The following is a 24,954-nucleotide window of genomic DNA, read 5'->3' on the forward strand; positions in this document are numbered from 1 at the left end:
GGGAAGAGTTAGACAGGGAGAAAGTGAATAAAATCAACTAGAATGAGAGATTTGATTCCATAGAAAGTTGAGTAATTTGCGTGTCAAAAAGATAAAACTATACACTTGCCTAGTACTTTAACAACACAACTGAAAAGCATGTGGAAACTGGCATAAAAGGTGGGGTATTTGCAACGAGAAAAATGCAGTCATTTTTTTAAAAAAGCAACAGCTGCCAGTTTGAGCCACTCTACAAATGGCCAAGAAAGAAACCTACTCCTCTCCTTCAGTTGTATTAATATAATGCCAACCATTAATGAGATAATAACTATCCCAGGCAACAGTCAACGTCTTTTTGAGAGGATGTTTCTTAAATTCCCCATCACATTGCACAACCTCTTGGAAAAGGTGAGATTTAATTACCTGCCAACTCTGAGACAGAAAGTTCTGTTGACTGTATGACACAAGTAAGCACTCAGTAAAGTACATAGCACAATATGCACTTTGATTAATATAAATTGGCTTCAGAGTGACTTTGCATTTTTACAGTGATTGTGTTGTTTGTCTCGTTGCCTTTCATATTGCCTGCTAAATAATAATAGCCTTTATTTATTGAGCACATACCACATACAAGAGAATGTGCTAAGCATTTTGCAAATATTACTGACAACAGCCCTATGTGCTATGTATTATTATCTAGGTCAAGTAGATACTATTGCTCTGTTTTAGAGATCAAGAAATAGAAGTTTAGAATGGTTAAATAACCAACTCCAGGTTGCCCAATGAGTTTAATACCCACGACTATTAGCTTCAAAGCTATTCTTATAGAGAAACTCACTATGTGCTTGGGAGAAAGCGCGTGTGACACCATTTGACAGTATTACAATAGCATTGTGTGTCATCAATGGGAAAAAAAGAAGAGTGAATGATTAAAAGCCATGCAAATAATGTATTCTCTAGTCTAAGTTTCTGTTAATAATTGTTCATGTTACTGCTTCAACAGGCATTTATGGAGCAACTATTTGGTATCACAGGGATTAAAAAGATAAGCAAGACAAAGGTCTTTGTCTTCATGGAAGCTCAGTGAAGCCCCTACAAAGGCAACTCCAAGATGAAATTAATATTTTGCTCTTTTTCTGTTGAGAAAATAACTTTTTGTAAAATAAAAATTATTGACAATCAATTGTACAGTTTAATACAGTGGCTTTAAAACTGTACCTTATTGAATCCCGAGGTATTGACCAGCTCCCCTAAGATAACAGAGGTGGATTAGGGACAGAGGTCTGTGAAATGGTGTCTACCACTTTCCCTCAAACACACAAGTTCTGTTTTAATTTCTTTTCATGTTAATTTTCAGCATAACATTTTGTTTGACTAAGCAGTTCTATCACAAAGAAAATTTGAAAACCTTTGATTGACTTGGTGAAATAAATACATACTTTATACCAACTTAGATCTTAAATGAAATGTTGATGCTTGCTTTTGTAATTATCACTAAAATGTGTTCTAATAATAACTTTTGAAGATGCAGGCTTCACAGAGCAGATGACCAAACAGAAAATATCTATCAGAAACATGAGTAAATACCAATTAAAATATATGATAGCCTTGTAAACTCTCACACTCTTGGTCCAACAGAAATGAAAAATTACTTGAGTGGGATGAGTAGGAAAAAAAGTGGTAGTGTCATTCAATTCCAGAGGAAGAGATGAATTTAATGGTGAGGTTACTGGCATTGGGACTAATATCAGGGATGATGTCTAATATTACTCAATCACATTCAAGTAAAATATCAGCCTTTGGTATCTTCATTGGACCAGAACAGTTTCTTTAGATCTTCTTATTTCTCTTTCAAGCTTCAACCTTAAATAATAGGCCATTGTGTAGCAGAAAAAACTTTAAACTTAGAAGTAGAAATCTATAATCAAATCCTCAGCCAACTTAAAAACAGTTGTGTGACCTTGGATAAGTCCCATAGCCGGACTGCATTCTCTAAACCAGCAGCTATAACGTTTCCTACCTCATTAGAGTGTGGTGTGAATGAAAATGTGAAGAATGCCTAAAACAGAGTCAGGCCTTGAATGCATTAGAAAGTTTCAGGCAGCCACTCATTCCATCACCCTGTCTCACTCTTTCTAGTGACCCAGGGTCACTTACCTGTTTTTCTTAATACACCCCAAGTCTTTCTCTTGCCTCTCTTTGTAGACCAGAATTATTCTTGTGTTCATCAATATGGATTGAGTCAAAAATTTTCAAGATCTACCTGACTTATTACTTCAAGGATCCATCATCCTCTGGCTTCCATTTTTTTGTATTTCTATAGGCATGGATTCAAAGGGGATATCTGACTGGCTCAGGCTAGATCCAGATGAACTCCTCCTACATTTGTTGTCCATCCTGGTCCAATCAGTGGCAGCTAAGGGAGCTCAGTCACTTGTTTGAAGTTTGCCCAGTCAAGGGGCTGTGGAAGGAAGAGGAAGTTAATCTGAGACAGGATTGTGACAGGCAGACCAATAAACATGTCTGTTTACAATCTAAATATTCATAAAATTCCAATCCCCCAAATTCTCCCACATATGTATGCTCTTGTATTCCCCTGAGATAGGAAGGGAGGCATGCTCATAACCCCATTTTACAGATGGGAAGAATAAAGTGCCAGGAATACTGGTCCCTCCATTAGGGTCACTTAATGAGCCACTGGTGAAACAAGAAATAAATCCGAATTGAGAGCTTAGACTGCCTGGTCTCCTGTTAACAATTAAGACTGCAAAAATTTCAAACCATATCGCATGCACAATAAATACTGCATCTGAATCAATTGTAGAGACAAAGACAGAGGCACAGGGAGAAGACAGATCTATCCAAGGTCACTCAAGTGAGGAAATAAACCAGCTTAAAATAGACTTCTGTCTCAGCAGCATTGTGCTTTCACTCCTGGGCAACTTCCTGCCTATACAGCAACATTAATGCCAGCAAGGAAGGAACCTGAGGGTTAAATCCTTGGCCCCAGCCCCAGATAGCAATACAGAACCCCACCCCCGTAATTCAGTCAATAAATAGATGTCCCTTTCATACAAGTTTCAGAAAACACAGTTAATATACAACCACTACTCACAAATTAAATAAGTTATCTTACTGTAAAGGATATAACTATTTTATTATCTTTGCAATTAAAATGAAATATGCTAAAGGTAGAAGCAATACAAAACAGCTGCTGCCAGAAGTTTCAATAAAAGATCACTACTGGGCACCCTTATAACTGTGGGACCATTAGGAGATTTAAATGTCTTCTTCACTTTGCCCATGGTAGGGAGTGAGGCTGCACTGAGAAACATCACTGGCATGAGGTCTAATTGCCTGCCCTATGATTAATGTTGCCAAGTGAATTCAGAAGTTGTCACAGTTCTCATCCTATGGTCCAGGCTCATTTATAAAATAGAGCAAAGGGAGCCCAGTGCTTTGAGAATGCCAATGCAAAATTATAATAATTACTTATTACATGATACAGTTGTTAAAGTATTTTCTGTGTTGTTCAAAAAAAAAAAAAACAAGGCATGTACATTGGTAGAGAAGGCAGAAGAAATACTTATGACTGTGTTTTCCTCTTGTAACTTTCCCAGGCAGAATTACTCTGGTCCCTAAGGCCTTGAGGCACTTTTTTCTTATCTCCACTGAACTGTAAACTACTGGGGTTCAGAGACCAATTTTTAGCTTTCATTGTATCTATAGGATTTAGCATAGTGACTGGCATAATAAAAATCTGCTAAACTAAAACTGATACCCTGTTATAGAATTTCCATGATGTATTCTAAGTTCTGTCATAGGCATGCAATAATTGTAAGTTCTCAAAATGGAGGGACCAAGTCTAGTCCTTTGTATCTTTATAACTCTGCAGCTCTGCTATCCAACAGAACTTTCTGCAATAAGGGAAATGCTTTATTTCTGTTCTAGGAAAAGGAAAGTTCTTAAAGAAATGTTCTTCCTTTAAGAGTCTATGTAAACACTATTCAATAAGAGCCATTGGCCACTTGCGGCAATTGAGTGCTTGAAATATGGCTAGTGAGGTGAAAAAATGCATTTCTGATTTAATTTCAATTAAAATCACCCCTTGTAGCTCATGGCTACTATGTCAGACAGAGCAGCACTGGACGCCAAGTGTGGTGGCTCACGCCCATAATCCCAACATTTTGGAAGGCCAAGACGGGAGGATCACTTGAGCCCAAGATTTCAAGACCAGCCTGGGCAATGTAGAAAGACCCAGTTTCTACAAAAAAAAAAAAAGTAAATTATCCAGGTGTGATGGCACAGGCCTGTGGAGGATCACCCGGGTCTGGGAGGTCGAGGCTAGTGAGCCATGATCGCACCACAGCACTCCAGTGTGGGAAACAGAGCGAGACCCCATCTCAAAAAAAAAAAAAAGAGTAGCACTGGAATCTAGGCTGATGTGTGGCTTTCAGTAGTTGCTATTTTAATGTTTATGAATGAATAAATGAATGAATGACTACACATACCTAATCCCTCCACAAACCTACTTCCCGCCAAACTGCTTTCAGCTGCAGAGTGCTGCAAGCATGCAATATTTACTTGGCCAAGTTGAGTTTAAATAGGTAGTCTACAGGAAAAGCAATTCGGTCATTCATTGGATATTGTGAGGAAAGTCTTTTATGGCTAACTTGAAAGATGTACTTCAAAGTAACCACTTAAGATTAAGTCATCTATAAGCCATATTTTCACTCCACATCTTACTGCTTAGGGCAGAGTAGTCAAGTGGAAAACCAATGGACTTGGGTACTAGCTACACTCAACTGTCTACTAACTGATTGGCTTTGAGGTTCAATTAACATGCAAAGTGCTTGACTTTTCTTAGTGGCAAAATGGGGAAATCCTATGTGCCATGCCTCCTTACCAGGATGTTGTCAAAAGCAAATGAGATAACTGGCATGAAAACATCTAATGCTAAGCAAATACAGATTATTATTAAAATACGTTACTTCAAATTATTTTAAATAACTATTATCATAGTAATGGTGCTGTTATTAACAAATAATTGAATATATGTTTTCTTGCACAGTTAAAGACATACACGTGCCCAAAAAATTATTTTCTTCCACTCTAAGAAGATTTCCATTTTTTCTCTCTGCCACTTCATATCTCAGAAGGTCATATCTCGCTTACTGGGCAGTTTCCAGTGACAATTCTACAACGATTCCTCTCACCTATCTCACTGAATGTGGCTGTCAGCATAAGTAGGTTACATTGTAGGGACTGTGTTTGTAGCTAGTGTTGGCATGTTATTTTTCCAGCCACCACTCCAAGGAGAAGAGTTCACATTGTGTTTCTAAATCACTTCCTGAAGAGTGATTATATGGGATTCTTTCAGAAATAGAAGGAATGGAAAAAGCAAGACCAGAAAGTAATTTGGAGAGCATCCAAGATTGATAAGACACCAAAGTAGGGGGACTCCACAGCACTAGGAGCCTGTGCTCTGATCCCTTCCAGCGCCCTAAGATGTGATGGGATCTCAGCAAGAAACAGCCACCTAGTGTTCCTAAAGAGGCTGGAACATGAGCACTGGGCTCCTAGACTTGGCAATAACCCTAGTGCCCCACAATGGCAGCACCAGCAGAGCCTCCATCCTTAAAGAATAGTACAGCTTTGAACACTGAGCATGTCAGCTATGATCTTTGGGGATCAAATAACAGGGCATTCACATGGCACCAAGAGGAGAACCATCCAGACAAAGCTTGACCTTCGCACCAGTGAGGCCGATTGGAGGCTTGGAGCATATTAAATTTATTTAGAGAAAGGAAAGAAATGTAATATTACTCACATCCTGTGTTTGAAAGAAAAATCATCCTGCCCACTTAATAACTGTGCAGGGCTGCCTTCCATGCCACATTTTTTACACAGACCATAGGGAGGTCTGTGTGACTTTGTGACTCACCCTTTATCACAGCCCCCACCCCCATAGAACTGCGAGGGCTGAGTAGGAGACAAGTCCAGTTACACTCACAGGGTTGTGTTCAAAAACCAGTGTTTCTCCTTAACTAACCCTCAAGCAATTACCTCAGATCAAGTGAATAGACCTGACTTAAGCAAATTTGGCTGTTCACGAGTTTTAAGTTACTCTGGCAGATATTGATCACCACCAGCAGCTAGGAACAGGTGAGAACTATAATCCTCCTCCCCAACAATCTCATTACTGGGTGATGAGTTATATTGAAAGCACATTTGACCAAAGATGCCACATGTTCAAATACTCAAATCAACTAGCTAACCTGACACAATAAGAGCAGTGAAATCCCAGGCAACAGCATGCGCGAAACGGCCACTCAAAGCAGATGTATCAGTATTCTGGTGAAAGTTTCAGCTAAACTTCTGATCAGAAGTTGAGCCACAGGATTCTCTGTTGAGCTATTGAATGAAGCCCTGGTCCGAGAAGAGCCCTATGAAGAGGGTAGGCTGTGGAGCTCTCTCCAGATTCTTACTCCCTGTTGTTTACAGAAGGAAGGAATTGCTTACATAATATTTCCAGCATATTCACATATCTTAATCACCACTCGTTTCATCCATGGAAACTTATTTTAGCATCCCCTATGCTAACTAACAGGCTTTTTTGTGTTCATTGGAGATAAAGCTATAATAGGACAGCTGATTAGGGTCGTTCAAATGCTGGCTGAGGATCCCTAAGTATGAATTCCCTAGCCGACTATTTCACAAGTTAACTATCCACCGCTAAGACGTCCTCCAAAACACAAACACACATTTCTTTATTAGTGTTAGAGGATATGAAATAATTTACTTGAAAATACAATAATACTGTTTTCTCTTCAGAAGAGTTCTCCCCCAGATGGCCAAGAGGTTTGAACTCTTGCCTTTTGTCAGATATAGGGCTGAACCTTAGAGTCCAGTGTATTCCTTCATTGTCTTTCCTCTAAGTCTGCCAAACAAATAAGGCTCTGGTGAACCCATAGAGCCAGCTACAGATAACCACACATGTGTGAAATTGTAGTGCGCACACCGCTTATGCGTAGCCTGCTCCTGGTCTTCCCAGACTACCAAAACATACGTGAGCCATTCTTAACAGCAAGTGCAAACCCCGGAGTGCTGTTTCAAACCTTCAAGATCCTCCCATCTTCTAATTACCTCATTGCTCCATTTGACCCCACAGCATTTCTACTCCCTGGAATGGGGACACCTGGAGAAATCCACACATGAGGCCTAAACATCCTAGTACCCGCAATGTATCGATTTTTTTCTTTCTTCTAGAAGCAGAGGATGGTAATAAATTGTGTTGCTAACAACAAAGGTCACTGCATAGCTATCAGCCCTATGCAATGATAGCTGTGAAGGACAACAAATAATAGTTTTGCAAATCTCCTCTTTGAACATTCTTTCCTTAAGAATCCTGTTTGGCGGACCTGTTGTGAAATATGTGTCTCCTTCATCTAGTGTTGCTCAAACTGTGAGTGCTGACCTAGTGTCTTAGTCTGTTTGAACTACTATAACAAAAATATCACAAGCTGGTTGGCTTATAAACAGCAGACCTTCATTGCTCACAGCTCTGGAGGCTGGGAAGTCCAAGATCAAGGCACCAGCAGATTCAGTGTCTGGCGATGGGCCTCTTCATAGAAGGTGGTCTTTCTGCTGTGTCCTCATGTGGTAGGAAGGGGTACAAGAAAGGCCTTTTTTATAAGGACACTAATCCCATTCAGGAGAGTTCTACCCTCATGACTAATCTTCTCACAAAGTGCCCACCTCCTAATATCATCACCTTGGGGGTTAGGAGTTCAACATATGAATCTGAGGGGGACACAAACATTTTGACCATAGCACCTATTCTAGAATTGTGAAATTGGCTTTCATTTATTAACAAAAATATAACTGAATAGAATGGAAAAGAATAAAAGAGAAGAGAGGAGAAAGAAACATATAGATCACAGAGAGCAAGGGTAATCAGATGAGTTTAATAAGACATTTCATGTTTATGAGAGTATGTATACTGAGTTGCAATGTAAAGCATATTTCTTAGTAAAAAATAATATTTGAAAAATATATAAACCACTACCACAATTTATTTGGAGATAAATTTTCTTTGGATCTCAAATAAAGTAAAAGAAAGTTCTAATGCAATTTTTTTTAACTTTTATTTTAAGTTCACAGTTACAACTGCAGGTTTGTTACGTTGGTAAACTTGTGTCATGGAGGTTTGTTTTACAGGTTATTTCATCAGCCTGGTATTAAGCCTAGTACCCATTAGTACATTTTTCCTGATCCTCTTCCTCCTCCCACCTCCTGCCCTCCAAAAGGCCTCAGTGTGTGTTGTTCCCCTTTATGTGTCCATGTGTTCTCATCATTTAGCTCCTACATATAAGTGAGAACATGAGGTATTTGGTTTTCTGAAAATTTCCATGTGTCTATCAAGAATAGCTTGGGAGGAAGGTTGAGAGTAAATGTTATCATGATCCCAAAACATCTGCCTGGGGAAACATTATTTTTAAAGTATCAGAATGACTCCCTCATGCAGCCCAGGCTATTTTCTGGAAAAGTGACATCCTAGTTAGCCTTGTCATAGAAGTAGGCCCTAAGGCAAGGATTTGCACACAAGCAGTTAATTTGAGAAGAATAGGGAGTATCATCAGCGGGAACTAGGAAAGCAATACAAGGAAGGGAAGGGAGCTATAAGGTTACTATTAAGTCTGCTACCATGGTCAGGTTATGTTGGTGGGAAAACTTGGGGAAACAGCACCTGCTGCAGAATTATCCCATCCAAGGGGCAAGAGAACAAGTATTTATTTCCAAGTGGCAAGTTGGTTGAAGGCTGCTGCCGGGGCAGGGGGTGAAGATGGTGAGTGTTAATTCTCTGGCACTTCTGGCCTACCTGCTCCTGGGCAGAGCAAGACAGAGAAATTTTCACTGTTCTGCAGAGAGAAAAAAGACTATGGGCCCCACCATGCAGATACTGAAAAGAACAAAGGTAATAAACAGAGCACTCAGGGCATCTATTCAGGTGGCCTGATCCTACAGAGACTCCTCCAAAAGGCTGGGGGCATCCTCTACATCCTTGTCCACTCACACTCACCTTGGAGGTGATTCTTTCCTGGACTAAAGACCCAGATGTATCTGAGGGTGAAAAGCAGGTATTGTTTTAGTACTAGTTTTGGTAGCAAGTGAAGAGCACATAAAATTTTCTTGGTTGTTCCAAAATGTCCACCACTTTGTAATAAGAACAAAGTCTGCACAGATCTAAAAGGAAAATTCTAATTTTAGCAGATTTGAAGCCCCTCAAGTTAGTTTCCCTGGCTCTATGCTATTAGCCACATAATCCAACTTTGCCTGCTTCTTGTCCCTCCCAGATTTAGCAGTGAGGCTGAAATTCTGCAGTGCCATGAGTGCCTGCACAGTTTCTGAACTTTCCCTCTTCTGGCCTCATATTTCCTGAAGCTGAAGGGAAGGGGACAGCTGACTGCCATTCCCACAGCTTTAGACCCTTCCTCTCACTTCTGCCCCGGCAAGGGAAACTGAGTTGTATCAGTCCTGCTCCCTGGGCCCCTGACACCATGACAGGGAAGAAAATCTGCCAAAGATCTATGGTTACTTGGATTCACTGAGCTGAGATGGTCAAATCTAATGCATCTTCACATCCTGTGCGGGTAAATGCCCCACCTAAGGGAGATGTTACTTATAGATGTAGAGCAATTCCAGGGATCTACCAGGGGACTGGTAGAGCCACACTTCCTTAACAATCATAGAATTACAGATTCACCTGGGGCTCATGGCTCACGGGTTGCCAAGTTACCTCACCAAGCAAATGTGATGGAATTACCAAGACAGGTTTAGATCTGTGGTGGAACAGGCCACAAAGTTCCTGAGATCTCTCTGACTTCTGGCTTAGGGACTCAACCACTATGTCTACCAGATTCAAGGAAAAAGAAAACAGGTGTGTATGACTCTGCATTCCTCAACCCCAAACAGTTGAAGAAAGTGGAGGCTTAGTTCCACCAAGTCTGGCAGAGCACAGAGATTCCCCTCCGTCAGGTGGTATGGCCTAGAATTTGACTGTACACATCACATCCAGATCATTTGTCCCTGAGCACTTATCCAGAGCCCAGACTACAGCTTCTCTCTCAGTTGATTTTATTAGCCAAGGAATCATGACCTAGTTTCTGCCTTGGAGTTGCTGAGATCTCTCTGGCTTATCCCAGGATCAGAACCTGTTTGGGCCCAGATCATTTGGCTGTGACCTTCCTATCCTGCAACACTGCCTGGTTCTTCCAAGTAATGCCCAGAAGACTGAACCCTATTCTCAATGTCTCTGCCACTGGCCTCTTCAAACTAAAGAGACTCTCCTAGAAGCAGGTACAACTCATCATCTGACTTCAAGACTCCCAATTCCTGGAAGAAAAGCACCTGTGCTTGACATAGCAGGGTCTTGACATTAATACCAGCCAAGCTGAGAAGTGGACTTTGGCCACTGAGGCAGAGACTGGCTAGTTTATGCATGAAAATCTTTTACCTTTCCTCCTGGGCACACAGCTAGACAACACTTCCCAGCCTTTCTTGCAGTGACCATGTGCCTAAGATCTGGCACTAGAATCTGAGCAGAAATTGTGTGCTCCATTTCTGGACCTGGATGATAAAAATCTCATGTGTGATTCTACACTCTTCCTCTATATGTCAGCTGGATATCTAGACCAAGGGCATCCATGAAAACCCCATGTTGAAAGGACACAACATCTCTCAGCTTGGGTCCTCAAAAGGCTACACAGAGGCCGAGCATGGTGGCTCATGCCTATAATCCCAGCTACTCGGTAGGCTGAGGAATGAGGATCACTTAAACCCGGGAAGCATAGGTTGTTGTGAGCCAAGATCGTGCCACTGTACTCCAGCCTGGGGGACAGAGCAAGACCCTGTCTGAAAAAAAAAAAAAAAAGACTACACATAGGAAAGTACCATCCCCCACAGCCCACAGCCTACCCCACCCTCCAGCACTAATGGACTTTTCCATGCGTAAGAAATTTCCATTGTGTGAGCCACTAATATTTGAAGGTTTATCTGTTATAGCAGCTGGACTTACATTATCCAACACAGTCACCCACGACCAAAGCTAGGCTCCCAGCCAAGTAAGTGACCCCAGCTGTCTGTAGCTTGCTCCCCTCTCACAGTTGTGGAGGTCCCAGCTCTCCATACTGCCCAAGGAGACAGTTTGAGATACGTGGGTGAGTAGAAGGGTGGGAGACACAGGAGATGTTTCTCAAGGGAAAAGCTTTGACTCTTCCATGTTTTGTAATCAGGAATTTTCCATGGTCGCACAGTGAGTCAGAGGAAAAGCCATAATTTTCATCCTCCCTCTGCTGGGGCAGCTGTCTTCCTGCAGGATGGGGTCTAAGCTCCATTCCTAGGAAGGAGGGGGTCAGTAAGGAGAAGGGTCATCAACTCAGGATCCTACCTTCTCATGGAAACCACTGAGAAGACTAAGCACACCAGCCGCACACAAGTGAGGAGATTTTAAATCAGCTGGACAATCCTTTTTTGGTTTAAATATAGTATTGTTTCATCCCTCTCCCATGTGATTTTATCCCATCAATATTTTTAATGTCATTAGAACTGCCCATTCCCATCATTTAACCTGTAAACTACATTGCCCAACTCATTGGTACCAAGAAGCAAATTGCAAAGTTCCACCCTGTGGTGTCACAGGGCTAAGTGCAGCCACCCAAATGCATAGCGAATTTGTTAAAGACAGGAAAGAAAACAAGCTCTAACTAGGCTTCTTGAGGCTCCCAATGCTGCTTGGTCACCACAATCAGTGAGTTTCCTCCAGAAAAGGGTTCATGCAGCTCTCGAGTCTAGCATGTCTTCAGGGAATTTAGGAATGTTTCTTTCATCAGCTCTACCCTGAGGGGAAAGATTCCTCAGAGCAATGTAAAAAGCACAGGGCAAAGAAAGAGGAGGAGGCTTGTGACATGTGGCAGCCCTTCTCTACAGAGAGTGGATGGGCCTGGGAGCCAGTGCATTGCTGGGACTATATTTAGTTCATCCAGTGACATCTTTGCGCCTCAGTGCCATCTCTCACGATAGCAAGAGACTGTGAGACTGAACATTTTTCTCATTGTAACAGGGGTCTGACTCACTAGTTTAAAAAAAAATCTGAGAACGATGAGACCCAAGGGGACAACAGAGTTCCAAAAAAAAAAGAAAGAAAAAAGAAAGAAGAAAGAAAGCAAGAAAGAAAGCAAGAAAGCAAGAAAGCAAGAAAGCAAGAAAGCAAGAAAGAAAGAAAGAAAGAAAGAAAGAAAGAAAGAAAGAAAGAAAGAAAGAAAGAAAGGGTCAAGCATTCCTGTAGGCTGAATAAAAAGACAACAGTCCTGGAAACATTTTCTAGGAGGTCTCCAATATTTTCTAGGAGGTCTCCAATGAGCAATTTTTTGCTAGCACAAAATTCTAAATTGTACCAAATACTAGTTCATAATTTCCATCGAGTTCTGAAAAACATAAGCCTATTTTTACAATGAGTTTTTGAAACTGAAACTGTAAGTGCTAACTGGAGACCAGCATGTGTCTCACTGCTGTTAACCTTTGAGGAACTGACTCCAAATTGCAGGGGTGCCACTTTCAAGCCAACAGGTGGCCTCTTTGAGTTAGGTCTTGACTCCCAAAAGTTGATATAGACATGTTGAATATTTTTCAACCAATTCTCTTCTAATTCTGTGAATAGCTTACTACAGAGTTTAACAAACTTTTTCTAGACCAGATAGCAAATATTTTTTAGGCTTTGCAGGTCATATGGTCTTTGTCACAATGAGTGAACATTGCCATTTTGGCACTAAAGCAACCAGAGATAATAGGTGAATGAATGGGCATGGCTGTGTTCCAATTAAACTGTTTTATTGGGGGAAAAATAGGCAGTGGGCTGAATTTATCCTGTGACTGTGATTTGCTAACATTTCACTTACTACTGGCCAGTACTAGTGTTGCTGATACTGGCTCACAAATACCACCCAGGGCTTCACCCTGTCCTATGACCAGAGCCACCTCCACCCCCATCCCAGCAAGCTGTCTCAAAAAACTTCTCCTGGCCCAAAAAGACCAAGAAAGAAAAAAATTAATCTATCCCTGTATTTCTATCAGTACCACAGGATTATCAAAACAAACTCTAACTTTTTAGGAAACAAAGTGACTGGAAATCTGAAATTGATTGCATTTTCAAACTTCTTTTAAGTTTGACCCCAAAAGAAGAATGAAGTTTCTTGAAACTCCTGCATCCACTGACAGGAATTGGATTCTTACTCAATGTATCGGAAATTAGACCTTTGTAACACCTGGTTTTCTTGATTATAGATAGGCCATGTTCCAGGACTACTATACAATATTTGGTTTGTAGGAAGTACTCAAACCCAGGGTTGTGAGAAGAGTCTGTGGCACTAGGGGCCTGGTAGTTTCCATTATTTTGCCTAAAAATCAATGTTAATGTCAATGTCTCAAAAATCAATGTCAATGTTGAGTTAACCATCCAAAGTGTGGATGTTTCTACTTTCTTAGTACCTTGGAGAGGTTCTCTGGATAAATAACAAAAGGAATTAGCTACTTAAGAATGGTACACAGGCTTATAAATAACTCGTGTAGGCATGCATAACTAATACATTTTTCCAAGGACATGGTAAACTCTTCCCATCTCAAGTAAAACCTCAAAATCTACATCCTGGTTCTGGCTCTTTTCACAGGGTAAAGTCATGGAGTTGGATGAGAAAGGTCTTTTTCTTAAGGCAGGGTAACTTTTAGAAGACAGGAATTCTGGAAGGGGCCAGGGTTTGATGTTAATCTAGCCCAGATGCAAAGGGAAGGTACAAAGTCAGGCACACCCGGCCCCATGTGCACGTAGGACACGACAACTGGAAAAGACGTCAAGAGATAACAGACGGTCCAGTGGCATTTGTCCTGACCAGGTATATCTAAACCTGTCTGATTTACCCATGGTCAGTAGCCAAAAGAAGGAAGCAACAGCATGCAGCTGTATTCACGGAAACCACCGGAGAAACTTTTCTCATTGCTTCCAGCCCTACCTTTAGTTCCTGACTTCCCCAGCTCTGCCTGTCTTCTGAACCTTCACCTTTATGGAAGGTAGAATTGAGGAGCTATTAGAAAGCCAGGTTTATAAACTGTGATGGTTCCAAAACCCTAGGTACACAGTAAAATCACCTGGGGATTTTATAAAAATCCCAATACCCAGGCCATATCCTAAGCCAACTACATTAGGTTTTCTAGGCGTGGGACCAGATATCAGTCTGTTCTCAAGCTCCCAGGGCCACTGAGTTCATATCAGATGATCTGAGTTCGAAGTCCAGTATAAACAATTACCTCTTCTCTGTCTGTCTCAGTTTTCTCACCTGTAAATGGTGATCATTATAGTCTCTAATTTATAAGATTGCAAGGATTAAATGAGTTCATTCACATAAAAATATCAGCACAGTTCTTAAATGTTAGTTCTTAGCACCGAGTTTCCTCTTCTTGACTTCCCATGTTTGAATTTCAATGCCTTCCACATCCTTAGCTTTTCCTCATCCTCCCTGCCTGTATCAGTTGCTCTAGGTATGCTCTGGGGACAGCCTAGTACTCCAGGCTGTGTAGTTGGCACCCTGGCCAGGATCACCCTTGCCACTGAGGGCCCCTGGACAGGACTTGAAGGGTCAAACACCGAGGAAACACTGACAGAGGGTGGTAACAGAGAGGGTGACCCACTGCCCTAAACTGCCCCAGGACTGAGGTATTTCCCAGGTTACAGGACTTGGAGAGCTAAAATCAGGACAGCCTCAGTAATCCAGGGCAGCTGGTCACTGTAATTGGAACAGATAGTCCAGGAAATCAGTGCAGGCAGGGGTTATCTTTAGGAAAGTCAATGAACAGGAAGTCAGGGTCTCGAGGTTAGACTCCACCGCTACACAAGGATAAAGTGAAAGAAGAAAAGGAACTGCAAGAACAAGGCAGGACCCCAGCCCTACAGGCAACAGGCCAGCGCCTTTTAAGAGATGCAGCACCTCCGTTAACAAAACTGGCAAGATGGCAGTATTGTAAGGTCAAGGCCCAGTTAGCATAGGTGGCACGAGTGTTGAGCTAAAAATGCATAAATCCCTAAGACTTAAACAAAGCTGAACTATATAGGAAGAAACCTCAGCCCCAAAGAGATGCTGGCTAACGTACTCTGCCCTGCATGATCTACTCTTGACCTCTTTTTTCCTGTTTAACATTTTTTTAATTGTGGTAAATATACACATAACATATTTACCTTCTCAACCATGTTAAGTGTACAGTTAGTAAAGTATATTCACATTGTTAAGCAATTTCCAGAACCTTTTTAATCTTTCAAAACTGAAACTCTATTCATTGGACAATTCCCCATTTCTTTCTTCTGAGTCCCTAGCAGTCGCCATTCTAATTTCTGTTTCTATAAGCTTATCTACCCTAGATACCTCATACAAGTGGAATCAAGCAGTATTTGTCTTTTTGTGACTGGCTTATTTCACTTAGCACAATGTCCTCAAGGTTCACCCATGTCGTAGCATGTATCAGAATATATATTGATATGGTTTGGCTCTGTCCCCACCGAAATCTCATCTTGAATTGTAACTCCCACAATTTCTACGTGTCGTGGGAGGGGCCCAGTGGGAGGTAATTAAATCATAGCGGCAGGTCTTTCCTGTACTATTCTCACGATAGTGAGTAAGTCTCGTGAGATCTGATGGTTCTACAAGGGAGAGTTCTCCTACACAAGCTTGCTCTTGCCGCAGCCATGTAAGAAGTACCTTTCACCTTCCACCGCGATTATGAGGCCTCCCTAGCCACGTGGAACTGTAAGCCTATTAAACCTCTTTCTTTTTTTTTTTTTTTTGGTTCTAATTGCCTTTTCTTTTTTTTTATTTTACTTTAACTTCTGGGATACATGTGCAGAACGTGCAGGTTTGTTACATAGGTATACATGCACATGTATGTTTATTGCAGCACTATATACAATAGCACAGAGTTGGAACCAACCCAAATGCCCATCAATAATTGACTGGATAAAGAAAATATAGCATATATGTACCATGGAATACTAGGCAGCCATAAAAAAGGATGAGTTCATGTCCTTTGTGGGGACATGGATGAAGCTGGAAACCATAATTCTCTGCAAACTTACACAGGAACAGAAAACCAAACAACGCATGTTCTCACTTATAAGTGGGAGCTGAACCATGAGAAAACATGGACACAGGGAGGGGAACATTGCACACCGGGGCCTGTTGAGGGTGGGGGGCAAGGGAGAGCATTAGGACAAATACCTAATGCATGCAGGGTTTAAAACTTAGATGATGGGTTGATGGGTGCAGCAAATCTCTTTCTTTTGTAAATTGCCCAGTCCAGTCTTGGGTATGTCTTTATCAGCAGCGTGAAAACAGACTAATACATATGTCCTTTTAGAGGCTAATATTCCATTCTATGTATATACTGCATGTTGTTTATTCATTCATTCATCCACGGACATTTGGGTGGCTTTCCCCTTCTGGCTGTTGTGAATAATGCTGCTATGAACACGAGGGTACAGATATCTCTTCAAGGCCCTGATTTCAATTCTTTTGAGTCTTCACCCAGAAGTAAGGTTGTCTTGAGCTCTTCTTAGGTTCTCATCCTGACTACCGTGCCTCTGTACAGTGGGACACAGAGCCACCCTCCCCACAGAGGAGCTCTCTCCTCCTGCTACCATTATCGTGGCAGTAGTTCCTGCCTCTTTTGTACGTTCAAACTCTTGGGATTGGAATGTTAATTTTCTCTGCATTATCATCCATTCATTCACTTATTGGAGAAATATTTACTGTAAGTCTGAGACCTGAAGACCAAGAAGATGATGGCCTTGTGAAAACTAGAGGAGGAGAAGAGCATTCAGGGTCCAGTGAGTGTGGGTGTGGAGATTTGGCTTACACTTGCTTAATCTCCTCTCACTCTCCCTGTGTTTGTACTCCATGCTCTTTTACACCATGCTGTATGCATCCTGGTTTCAAACAGAGTCAGGGACTTCAGCTGGTACATTCCCAGTCATTTCATTATGAGCAGGCTCTCCCCAACCTTCCCCTGACCCAGTGGCCTCACCACATCCTGCTGCCTAGCACTTGCTTATTTCTGGCCTGACAAAACGCCTAGTGGATGCTCTCAGTGCATCGACTCTTGGAAACAATGATTCTTCCTCTCTACTACCCAGTAGAGTGAGAGAGGTTCTTTATCTTGCCTAAGTGTTTTGAGGCACACAAGAAAAACCACAAAGGCAGAGCTTCCCTGGACACTTCCTCTCCTTTAGGGGAAAACAAAATCAATTCTCTCTCTCTCCCTCCCTCCCTCCCTCCCGAAGCCTCCCCACTGCCCTCCAAGTTTTTCACGTTGACAAATCAGACTGGAAGCCTGTATGACAGCCACTTTTCAGTATTTAACAATAACCCTCCCTACATCATCTACAAGTTATGTCTTCAACACACAAGGACAGTTTCTAGGACAAGCATTATCCAGGACTTTGCTACTCATATTAAAGGGCAGCATCCTATCCGCAAATCACACCCTCCAGTCTGCCCCCCTCTGACAATTCAAGAAAACTTACAGAATATTGGTTTATTGCATTTATCATTTCAGGGTTTGAGGATGTTTTAAGTTAATGATTTCCCTTTTTTTTTATTGTGCCAAAATCTTGTTCAAACACAATGAAATAAAACATGTAGATACAGGTTTCATTTCCATTGGTTGTCTGAGGCTAAAAATAAGAAGCCAGTGCTTAATGCTGACTTTTAATCTTATTGTGTGAGACCTTATCAATGTTTCCAAAATGCAGATTTAAAAAATAGCTGTGGTTAGGGTTTGAGAGGATATTCTGTGAATTCTAGTGCATGCACTGCCATCTACTGGACATTTATGATATAAAACTAAGCTGCATAGAAATAAGTGTATTTAATCACTGAAGACTCTGTAGAAGACAATACTAATGACATTACTCTTTAGAAAAAAGATAAGTATCTGGATAGATTAATGGAATAAATAAGTATAATATGCAGGCACAACAATATTCCTGTCTGGAATTTCTTGTTACTAAAGAATTTGTATTTTCATCTGCAGAGTAATGTTTGTCACTCTAATGAATGCAGAATCACAGCATTCATGCTGATAAAATCATTTTCAAATTGTGGTTCCTTAATACGACCAGGGAGAAGAGGCAACTCATATTGTCCTTCAGGTGGTGGAATTAAAGTAGGTATATGAGACTTCCCTTAGGATATTCTGTCTAATCATATATTCTGAAAAAAATTATGAGCATACTATCATGTACAGTTACAGAACTTCAGCAGTTTTTAAGAAATTTAACTCAATCACATCCACAATGCTGAACTTCTCATAAATAAAATTTAATATTCATTTCAGAAGGCAGTGCAGGGTTTTATAGTGTGTTGTGGCCATTATTTAACATATTAATTATTTTTGTATAATACTATTAAACACTTACTTAGGTGACATTTCTACCTGTTTTTCTTCTGGATACATAAGGGTTATCCCTTAATTGGATGGTAGAAAACCATATGGATTTTACATTTTAAAATGTACAAAGTAACTAGTTCTGAATATTTGACGTACATATGGGAGTGATATTCTTTTTTTGCACAGTAATTTGATAATAAGGCAGAAGTTTGGGGGCAGAGTGGGCTTAGGTGTAAAAAAGATAAAATTAATTATAGATATTACACCCAACCTTTATAAATCACATGTCATTTTACTTATTTTAGGCCAGACCTCCCTTCCATGCATATGCATCGTACTAAGAAAGATGCTTTCAACAACAATGTAATAAATTGCTCCCAGTCGCCTTAAGCCTTAAGTCTTAGAGGGGTGTGTGTGTGTGTGTGTGTTAGAGAAGTTGTTTATCAGAAGGAATTAGTCTCTTCAATGAAGGCAACAGAAGAAATCACGACAGAGTATATGCTAATGAAAGAGTTAAATGAGTGGAGTTTATTTTAGCTGCAAGAGCACACAAGAAAACATAGCGAATGATAAATAATTTGGAATTAGTCAACTGGGATGAGGTTTCTATTAAAATCCTTGAATGAGACCATTATCCTTTTAACAAAGAAAAAAAAAAGAAAGTCTGTATTTTAAGAAAGCTAAATTTTTTATTGATACATAATGACCATACATATTTCTGGGGTACATGTGAAACTTTGATAAATGCATACAATGTGTAATGATAAAATCAGGGCAATTGGGATATCTATCACTCAAACACTTATTATTTCTCTGTGTTGGGAATATTCCAAATCTTCTAGCTATTTTGAAATATACAATAAATTATTGTTAACTATAGTCACCCTACTCTGCTATTAAACACTAGAACTTATTCTTCCTATCTAACTATGTTTTGGTACCCATTAACAAGAAAGCTAACTTGTTAAGTTAAATAAAATTTAAGGAAATTGTCTAAGTATTTTATCTTTTTTAGACACCATAACAAATAGGAAATAACATATTTTTATATCTCATGACACTCCTAGCTTTTGTTTAAACCTGAACTCTCAAATACAGAGAATTAGCTTAGAAAAATAACTGCAGGGGTTAGGCTTTGAAATTTATCTTACTAAGCATGACAGCATGTTCTCAATGTTTTGCATGTTTCAATCTTTGTTTGTGAACTAGAAAAAGCATCTTTATTTAAATTCAATTAAACCAGACCTACATAGCTGAAACCCTGAGAGAAAACACAATTATGGAATCAATCCCAAAGCACTTGTATGGTGAATTCAGGCAAAAATGGAAATGGTCAATGTGAAATAACAAGATTAATATACAGCCAATCAGTAAAGAAAGTAAATTAAGTATATTGGTGAATACCACCCCCAAATTCATCAAGAAATTTTCATGTTTCCATACACTATAAATCTATATTATCTAAGACTGCAGCCTCTAGACACATGTGGCTACTTACATTTAAATGAATCTTTCATTAGACAAAATTAAAATTTAGTTCTTCAGTCTCACTAGCTACATTTCAAGTGCTCAGTAGCCACATGTGGCTAGTGGTTAAGGAGTGGACGGCACAGAGCTAGAATATTTTTATGATAACCAAAGCTCCATTAGATGGCGTTACTAAAAATCATCAAAATCTTGTCTCAATTCTTTGTTATAACATGTTTTGAAGGAATTTCACATAGTGAAAGAATAGCCATACACCTCCAAGTAACAACTGTTTCATTTTCTGGTTTATTGGGTGAACATATTCCAAGCTTCAAAATAGAGCTGGCATACATAACTATTGCTTTAAAAAGATAACACACAGGGTTCCAGAATTGGAAAAGACCTAGAGATAAATCATATATTCCATATGTTCCGTCATTCTCATCTTACCACTGAGGGCACACAGACTAAAAGAGGAAAGTAACTTGCCCAAGGTCATAGGAACAGTTGGCCCACAACGATAGGACCCAGCTTCCTGACTTCAGGTCGCATTGCGCATTCTGAACACCAGTAAGTAAGCTACATCTATCCTGAGACTATATGGTAACCTGACTACATCTCTCAAGTTATATGAAGAAACGAAAAGGAATAAAAAACGGAGACTCAATGTACTGTATACTTTATGTGAAATATTTAGCAGTACTCAAAATTAACACTAGGTGTCAGATCATCAGATTTGAAAAGCTAAACCTGATGAACTCGGAGATTTTCTGCTTGATTAAAAATAATCAAATCCATTGCAAATAAATCCATTATTTGATTAGAAATAATTAAATCCATTGCAAAATGGCATGGCATGATAATTTTGATTGACTTGGTCGTCCTCAGGAACTGAAGCTATATAATCAGTTAAGTCCCTGCTTCTGATCTCTTCTGATTTTCTTCTAAGAAGAGAATAATATTTATTTTTCATAAGTCTAAATTAATTTCTGTTAATTATTTGGGGACACTTTTAATTGTTCTCTGCATTTGAGAAGAAGCCAAAATGTTCAATTCTCCTTAACCTCTTAAGTCTCTTAAAGAGACTTAAAGTGGCATTATACTTCATCTTCTGATGTGTGCTTAACATCGCTACTGTGACACAGCTCCAGTACAAATATTAAAAAGTCTTTGCCTTAGATAATTTAAGGAAAGGATGCAAATGAAAGGCAAGAAATAAAGATTTAACCCCTGTATTGTCAAGCAACGTAGCAGGTTGAAGAGGAGGGAGATAAGGGGATGGGTTTAGTCGGAGGAAAGAGCGAATCTGGGGCACTGCTGATCAGGAGACGGGACTGGCTTGAGGGACACACGGCAGAACAGGCTCATAGCCCAAAGCCAGGTCTGGAGCTAAGGGCAGAGTGAAGAGGGAAGCTTGGCAAGAGAAGGGAACAGGAAGGAGTGTGGGCAGAGATAAGGACCGCAATCTAGCCAGCCGTGACTCTGCCCCTCCCTCTGAAGAAGAGAACTTTATAGAAGGGAAATCAGGCGACAAAGTCAAGGAAAGAGGTGATAGATTTAGAAGACCTTGAAGGGAAAATGAATCCATTGTCATTCTGGGGAAAATGGGAAGGGTAAGATTAAAAGAAATCAGAATTCAGAGCACAAGAAGAATTCCCATGAAAATATTACACCAAAATATGTGCCCATGAAATCACGTTCATTTTTAACAGAAAGGGAATTCCACAAGCAGTGACAATTGTCGATTTTGCTTGATAAGTTTTGCAGCAGTCATGGCATTCATGCTCCTATTCTCCAGCTTAGGAACACTGGGGGCCCCTGGAAACATCAGGGTTACCTCAAGATTTTCACACAAGCTGCCTGGACTTACGTTCCGGCTGCCTGACAGCCTCTGTGATCCTCCTATAGCCATTTTCAGGCACTTCACGGAACAGGCCTTGCAGTTCAAAAAAGCAAGTAGACAAAGTGTCCTCTCAGGCAGCCACTTTTTAATCCCCCAACACCCTTTTTTTAGGAACCTATCCAAAAATCTGTGGATCATATAAAGTTTCCTTTTCTTACCTCCTACCCCCGAATACTTTACAACATTCCACCAAATCTTACTCCCTCGGAGCATCAGGTTCCTAGTCTAACCAAGAAAGAAAGGTAATATGCTAATGGAAAGGTCTGGGGTGCCCTTATAACGCATAAACTTCTGGCTTCACCCAGGGCTGGCCTTGCATCTCAACAAGAGAAAACTCACAATTGCTTCAAGAGCATTGACAAAGTGAGGAAACTCACTGTTTCCTATGACCATTTTTTCTTGTATTTAGAGGAATCAGATTTCCAATGTTCTCAAACTGATCCCTCTGGCATTCTATTGAAAAACAATCTCATAAAACTGAGGGAAACCCTGCTGTTTTATGTCTGTATTCCCAAATCTAGGAAAAGGGAAATACCAGTTAAAAGAATACAGTCCCGGCGTGAGCTGAAAGGATTATTTTTCCGGAGGTTTTAAATCCCATGGTGTTACAGGGTGCTGCAGAGGTGCCTCAGAGCCTTTCAAGGGGCAAGGACATGCAGTGGCAAGGGAGGAAGCTAAGTGAGTATGGCTTAGGGCACGTTCTGCTAGCTTCATTCTTCTTCTATCTGTTTTATATACTGCAGTTCATATTAAAGTATATCTACATTTTAAAATGATTCCACTGGTAAATGTTTAACAACCAGCTCTCCAGAGAGTACAAAAAGCCCTGATCTGTAGTGTTTATCACTAGTTCATGGTGTGAATACTCCCTCCCACTGTGGCCAATTTCTTTTTTTAAATTATTTATTTATTTTTTTGAGACAGAGTCTCATTCTGTTGCCTAGGCTGGAGTGCAGTGGTGTGATCTCTGCTCACTTTAACACTCGCCTCCCGAGTTCAAGTGATTCTCTGCCTCAGCCTCCTGAGTAGCTGGGATTACAGGAGCCCACCACCATGCCTGGCTAATTTCTGTATTTTTAGTAGAGACAGGGCTTCACCATGTTGGCCAGGCTGGTCTTGAACTCTTGACCTGAGGTGATCTGCTCCCTTCAGCCTACCAAAGTGCTGGGATTACAGGCGTGAGCCACCATGCCCAGCCCACTACGGCCAATTTGAAGCTGCCGATGTGAAGTCTCTGAAGGCAAAGTTGGGAAAAGATGTGCAAAGTCAACTCTCAGCTCTCACCTGCATTTGTGAGGAGTTCCAGCACACTCCTGTACCACTCCTTAGTGGATGGAAAGAACTGGAACTCAGAACGACCACAGTAAAATGCAATTCCATTACCTATTCCAAACTACTAAATTACCCAGATCTACATTTAAATCTCATATGCAAAAATGGGTTTGGGCCTTCCTCATCATGATGATTGTGTCTTACCAGTAACAAACAAATATTAAATTAGACATGTAAATGTTAGAAGCATATATTCAGGATTTCCAGCTTCAATGGAAGCTTAGAACTCATTAGTCTCACCACACTTCCTAGGCCTAAATGCCTACTCTAATTGGCTTTTCAGCTCAATTGGTTTTACTGCAGTTCATATAAAAGTATATCTATATTTTAAAATGGTTCCACTGGTAAATGTTTAAGAACCAGCTCTCCAGAGAGTACAAAAAGCCCTGATAAGTAGTGTTTGCCACTGGTTCCCGGTGTAAATACTCCCACTATGGCCAATTTCAAGACAAAATTTGACAATGTCAGAAAATTGACCACATCTCAGACCATTCATGATCTCGTTAGGAAACACTCTTTCTTAAAGTAAACCAAGTATCTATTGCCCTGAAGCCCTATGCATTGTTCATTATCACCCATGTGAGGCCAAGCAAAACAACTCAAATTAAACCTCCATATTAACAGCCTCTCAACTGGGACACTAACATGTGCGTGCGTCTTCCCTTTCCAGCCCAAGCTACGTTAGTTTATTTGACTGTTTTCATGACATGATACCAAGCCCTGTCAACATCTTAGTCACTCTCTTCCGAGCTGGCTGCAACTTGCCTGTCCCTGTGCTTCTCTGAGTTTGTGATGAGTATCACAGGTATCACAGGTATCATGTGACCAATTCAGGGTAAATCGGAACCATTCCCTTCTGCTATTTACTTTCTACATAGCTACAACGTTATCATCCTTTTGACACAAAAGACTTCCTCGCACACGCCATTGCTAAGATACGTCTTCCCAATTCAATCCCCTTAGAATTGGGTTTTTGAGCCCAAGTACAGATTTTTACATTTATGACCATCTCCTTTCATCTGAAAAGACTTGGCTCATCAGGGCTGTCAGTACCTTTTAAATTCCTGATTCTCTTGTCCAATGTCTCCCTGTTTATTTTCCTGAGATCCAGACAAAGGACAAAATATGCAGATACCACCTGAAACTTATCTTTCAGGGGTTGGCAATCTATTAATCAATATCACCTGGGTATTACTGTTCTAATTCCCTTTGGAGAGTTAAAAATCACAGAGCCATTTAGTCCTAAATTACCTTCTGCTAATCATTATTACTAACACATGGGAGTTCCAGAACACCCTGAAGTGGGGGTATTGACCTCAAAGCATGTGCCCCTTGTGTCAGTGGGAAAGCCTTCTTCAATTCATAATGGTAGAATAAGAAGGAACTGGAGAGAGTGGGCAGGTTTCTTCCCACCTGCTGGTTTCTGTCCAAGGGGTGTGTGTGTGTGTGTGTGTGTGTGTGTGTGTGTGTGTGTGTGTGTGTAAAGTTTGTCTTTCCTTTATTTGAGCTCTGTCATTATAAGAGGAATCTAGATAATAGTCTCAGATAATAAAATCATCTATTCACATGCAAGGCAGTGTCTGCCATATCAATGCCATTGTAATATATTCTGTGCACCACAACTTTTCATTTGAATACTTAGAAGACTCTTCCTTGAGGTCAACAACAAAATAAAAGGAAGAGGAACTGCTTGGAAAAGTCAGTAATTTGCTCTATCTCAGGAGAATAGCATTCGGGAGGGAGTTAGAATGAAGGCACCAGGTTGATTTCCCATTAGTATCAATTAC

At 40.5% G+C, this 24,954-nt stretch overlaps 1 long non-coding RNA gene across 3 annotated transcripts in view, besides 5 other annotated features; it reads right to left on the reverse strand.

Moving 5' to 3' along the window:
* The window catches only part of COMETT (cytosolic oncogenic antisense to MET transcript), a 124,434-nt gene that overhangs the window by 7,711 nt on the left and 91,769 nt on the right, over positions 1-24,954 (reverse strand). For 2 of the 3 annotated variants that reach the window (NR_165033.1, NR_120506.2), the window contains exon 3: positions 2,137-2,440. The exons of the other annotated variant lie outside the window; for it this stretch is intronic. This is a non-coding gene — a long non-coding RNA (cytosolic oncogenic antisense to MET transcript). The remainder of the gene's footprint in view (positions 1-2,136; positions 2,441-24,954) is intronic. 3 annotated transcript variants of the gene reach the window in all.
* Positions 5,731-6,025: an enhancer, noted in NCBI's record as "tiled region #6449; HepG2 Activating non-DNase unmatched - State 22:ReprW, and K562 Activating non-DNase unmatched - State 22:ReprW". NCBI's record gives its function as "activates a minimal TATA promoter and a strong SV40 promoter by Sharpr-MPRA in HepG2 and K562 cells {active_cell/tissue: HepG2 | K562}" and the evidence as "EXISTENCE:reporter gene assay evidence [ECO:0000049][PMID:27701403]".
* Positions 6,164-6,303: a silencer, noted in NCBI's record as "silent region_18559". NCBI's record gives its function as "represses an Ori minimal core promoter by ATAC-STARR-seq in GM12878 lymphoblastoid cells {active_cell/tissue: GM12878}" and the evidence as "EXISTENCE:reporter gene assay evidence [ECO:0000049][PMID:35858748]".
* Positions 9,827-10,276: a silencer, noted in NCBI's record as "nonconserved region 2 (NR2) negative regulatory element (NRE) in the greater CFTR locus". NCBI's record gives its function as "modestly represses an SV40 promoter coupled to the HS2 beta-globin enhancer in the forward orientation in transfected K562 cells {active_cell/tissue: K562}" and the evidence as "EXISTENCE:reporter gene assay evidence [ECO:0000049][PMID:18436892]".
* Positions 12,381-12,480: an enhancer, noted in NCBI's record as "active region_26535". NCBI's record gives its function as "activates an Ori minimal core promoter by ATAC-STARR-seq in GM12878 lymphoblastoid cells {active_cell/tissue: GM12878}" and the evidence as "EXISTENCE:reporter gene assay evidence [ECO:0000049][PMID:35858748]".
* Positions 17,033-17,132: an enhancer, noted in NCBI's record as "active region_26536". NCBI's record gives its function as "activates an Ori minimal core promoter by ATAC-STARR-seq in GM12878 lymphoblastoid cells {active_cell/tissue: GM12878}" and the evidence as "EXISTENCE:reporter gene assay evidence [ECO:0000049][PMID:35858748]".

Source organism: Homo sapiens, chromosome 7 (assembly GCF_000001405.40).
Source record: "Homo sapiens chromosome 7, GRCh38.p14 Primary Assembly".
NCBI lineage: Eukaryota > Metazoa > Chordata > Mammalia > Primates > Hominidae > Homo > Homo sapiens.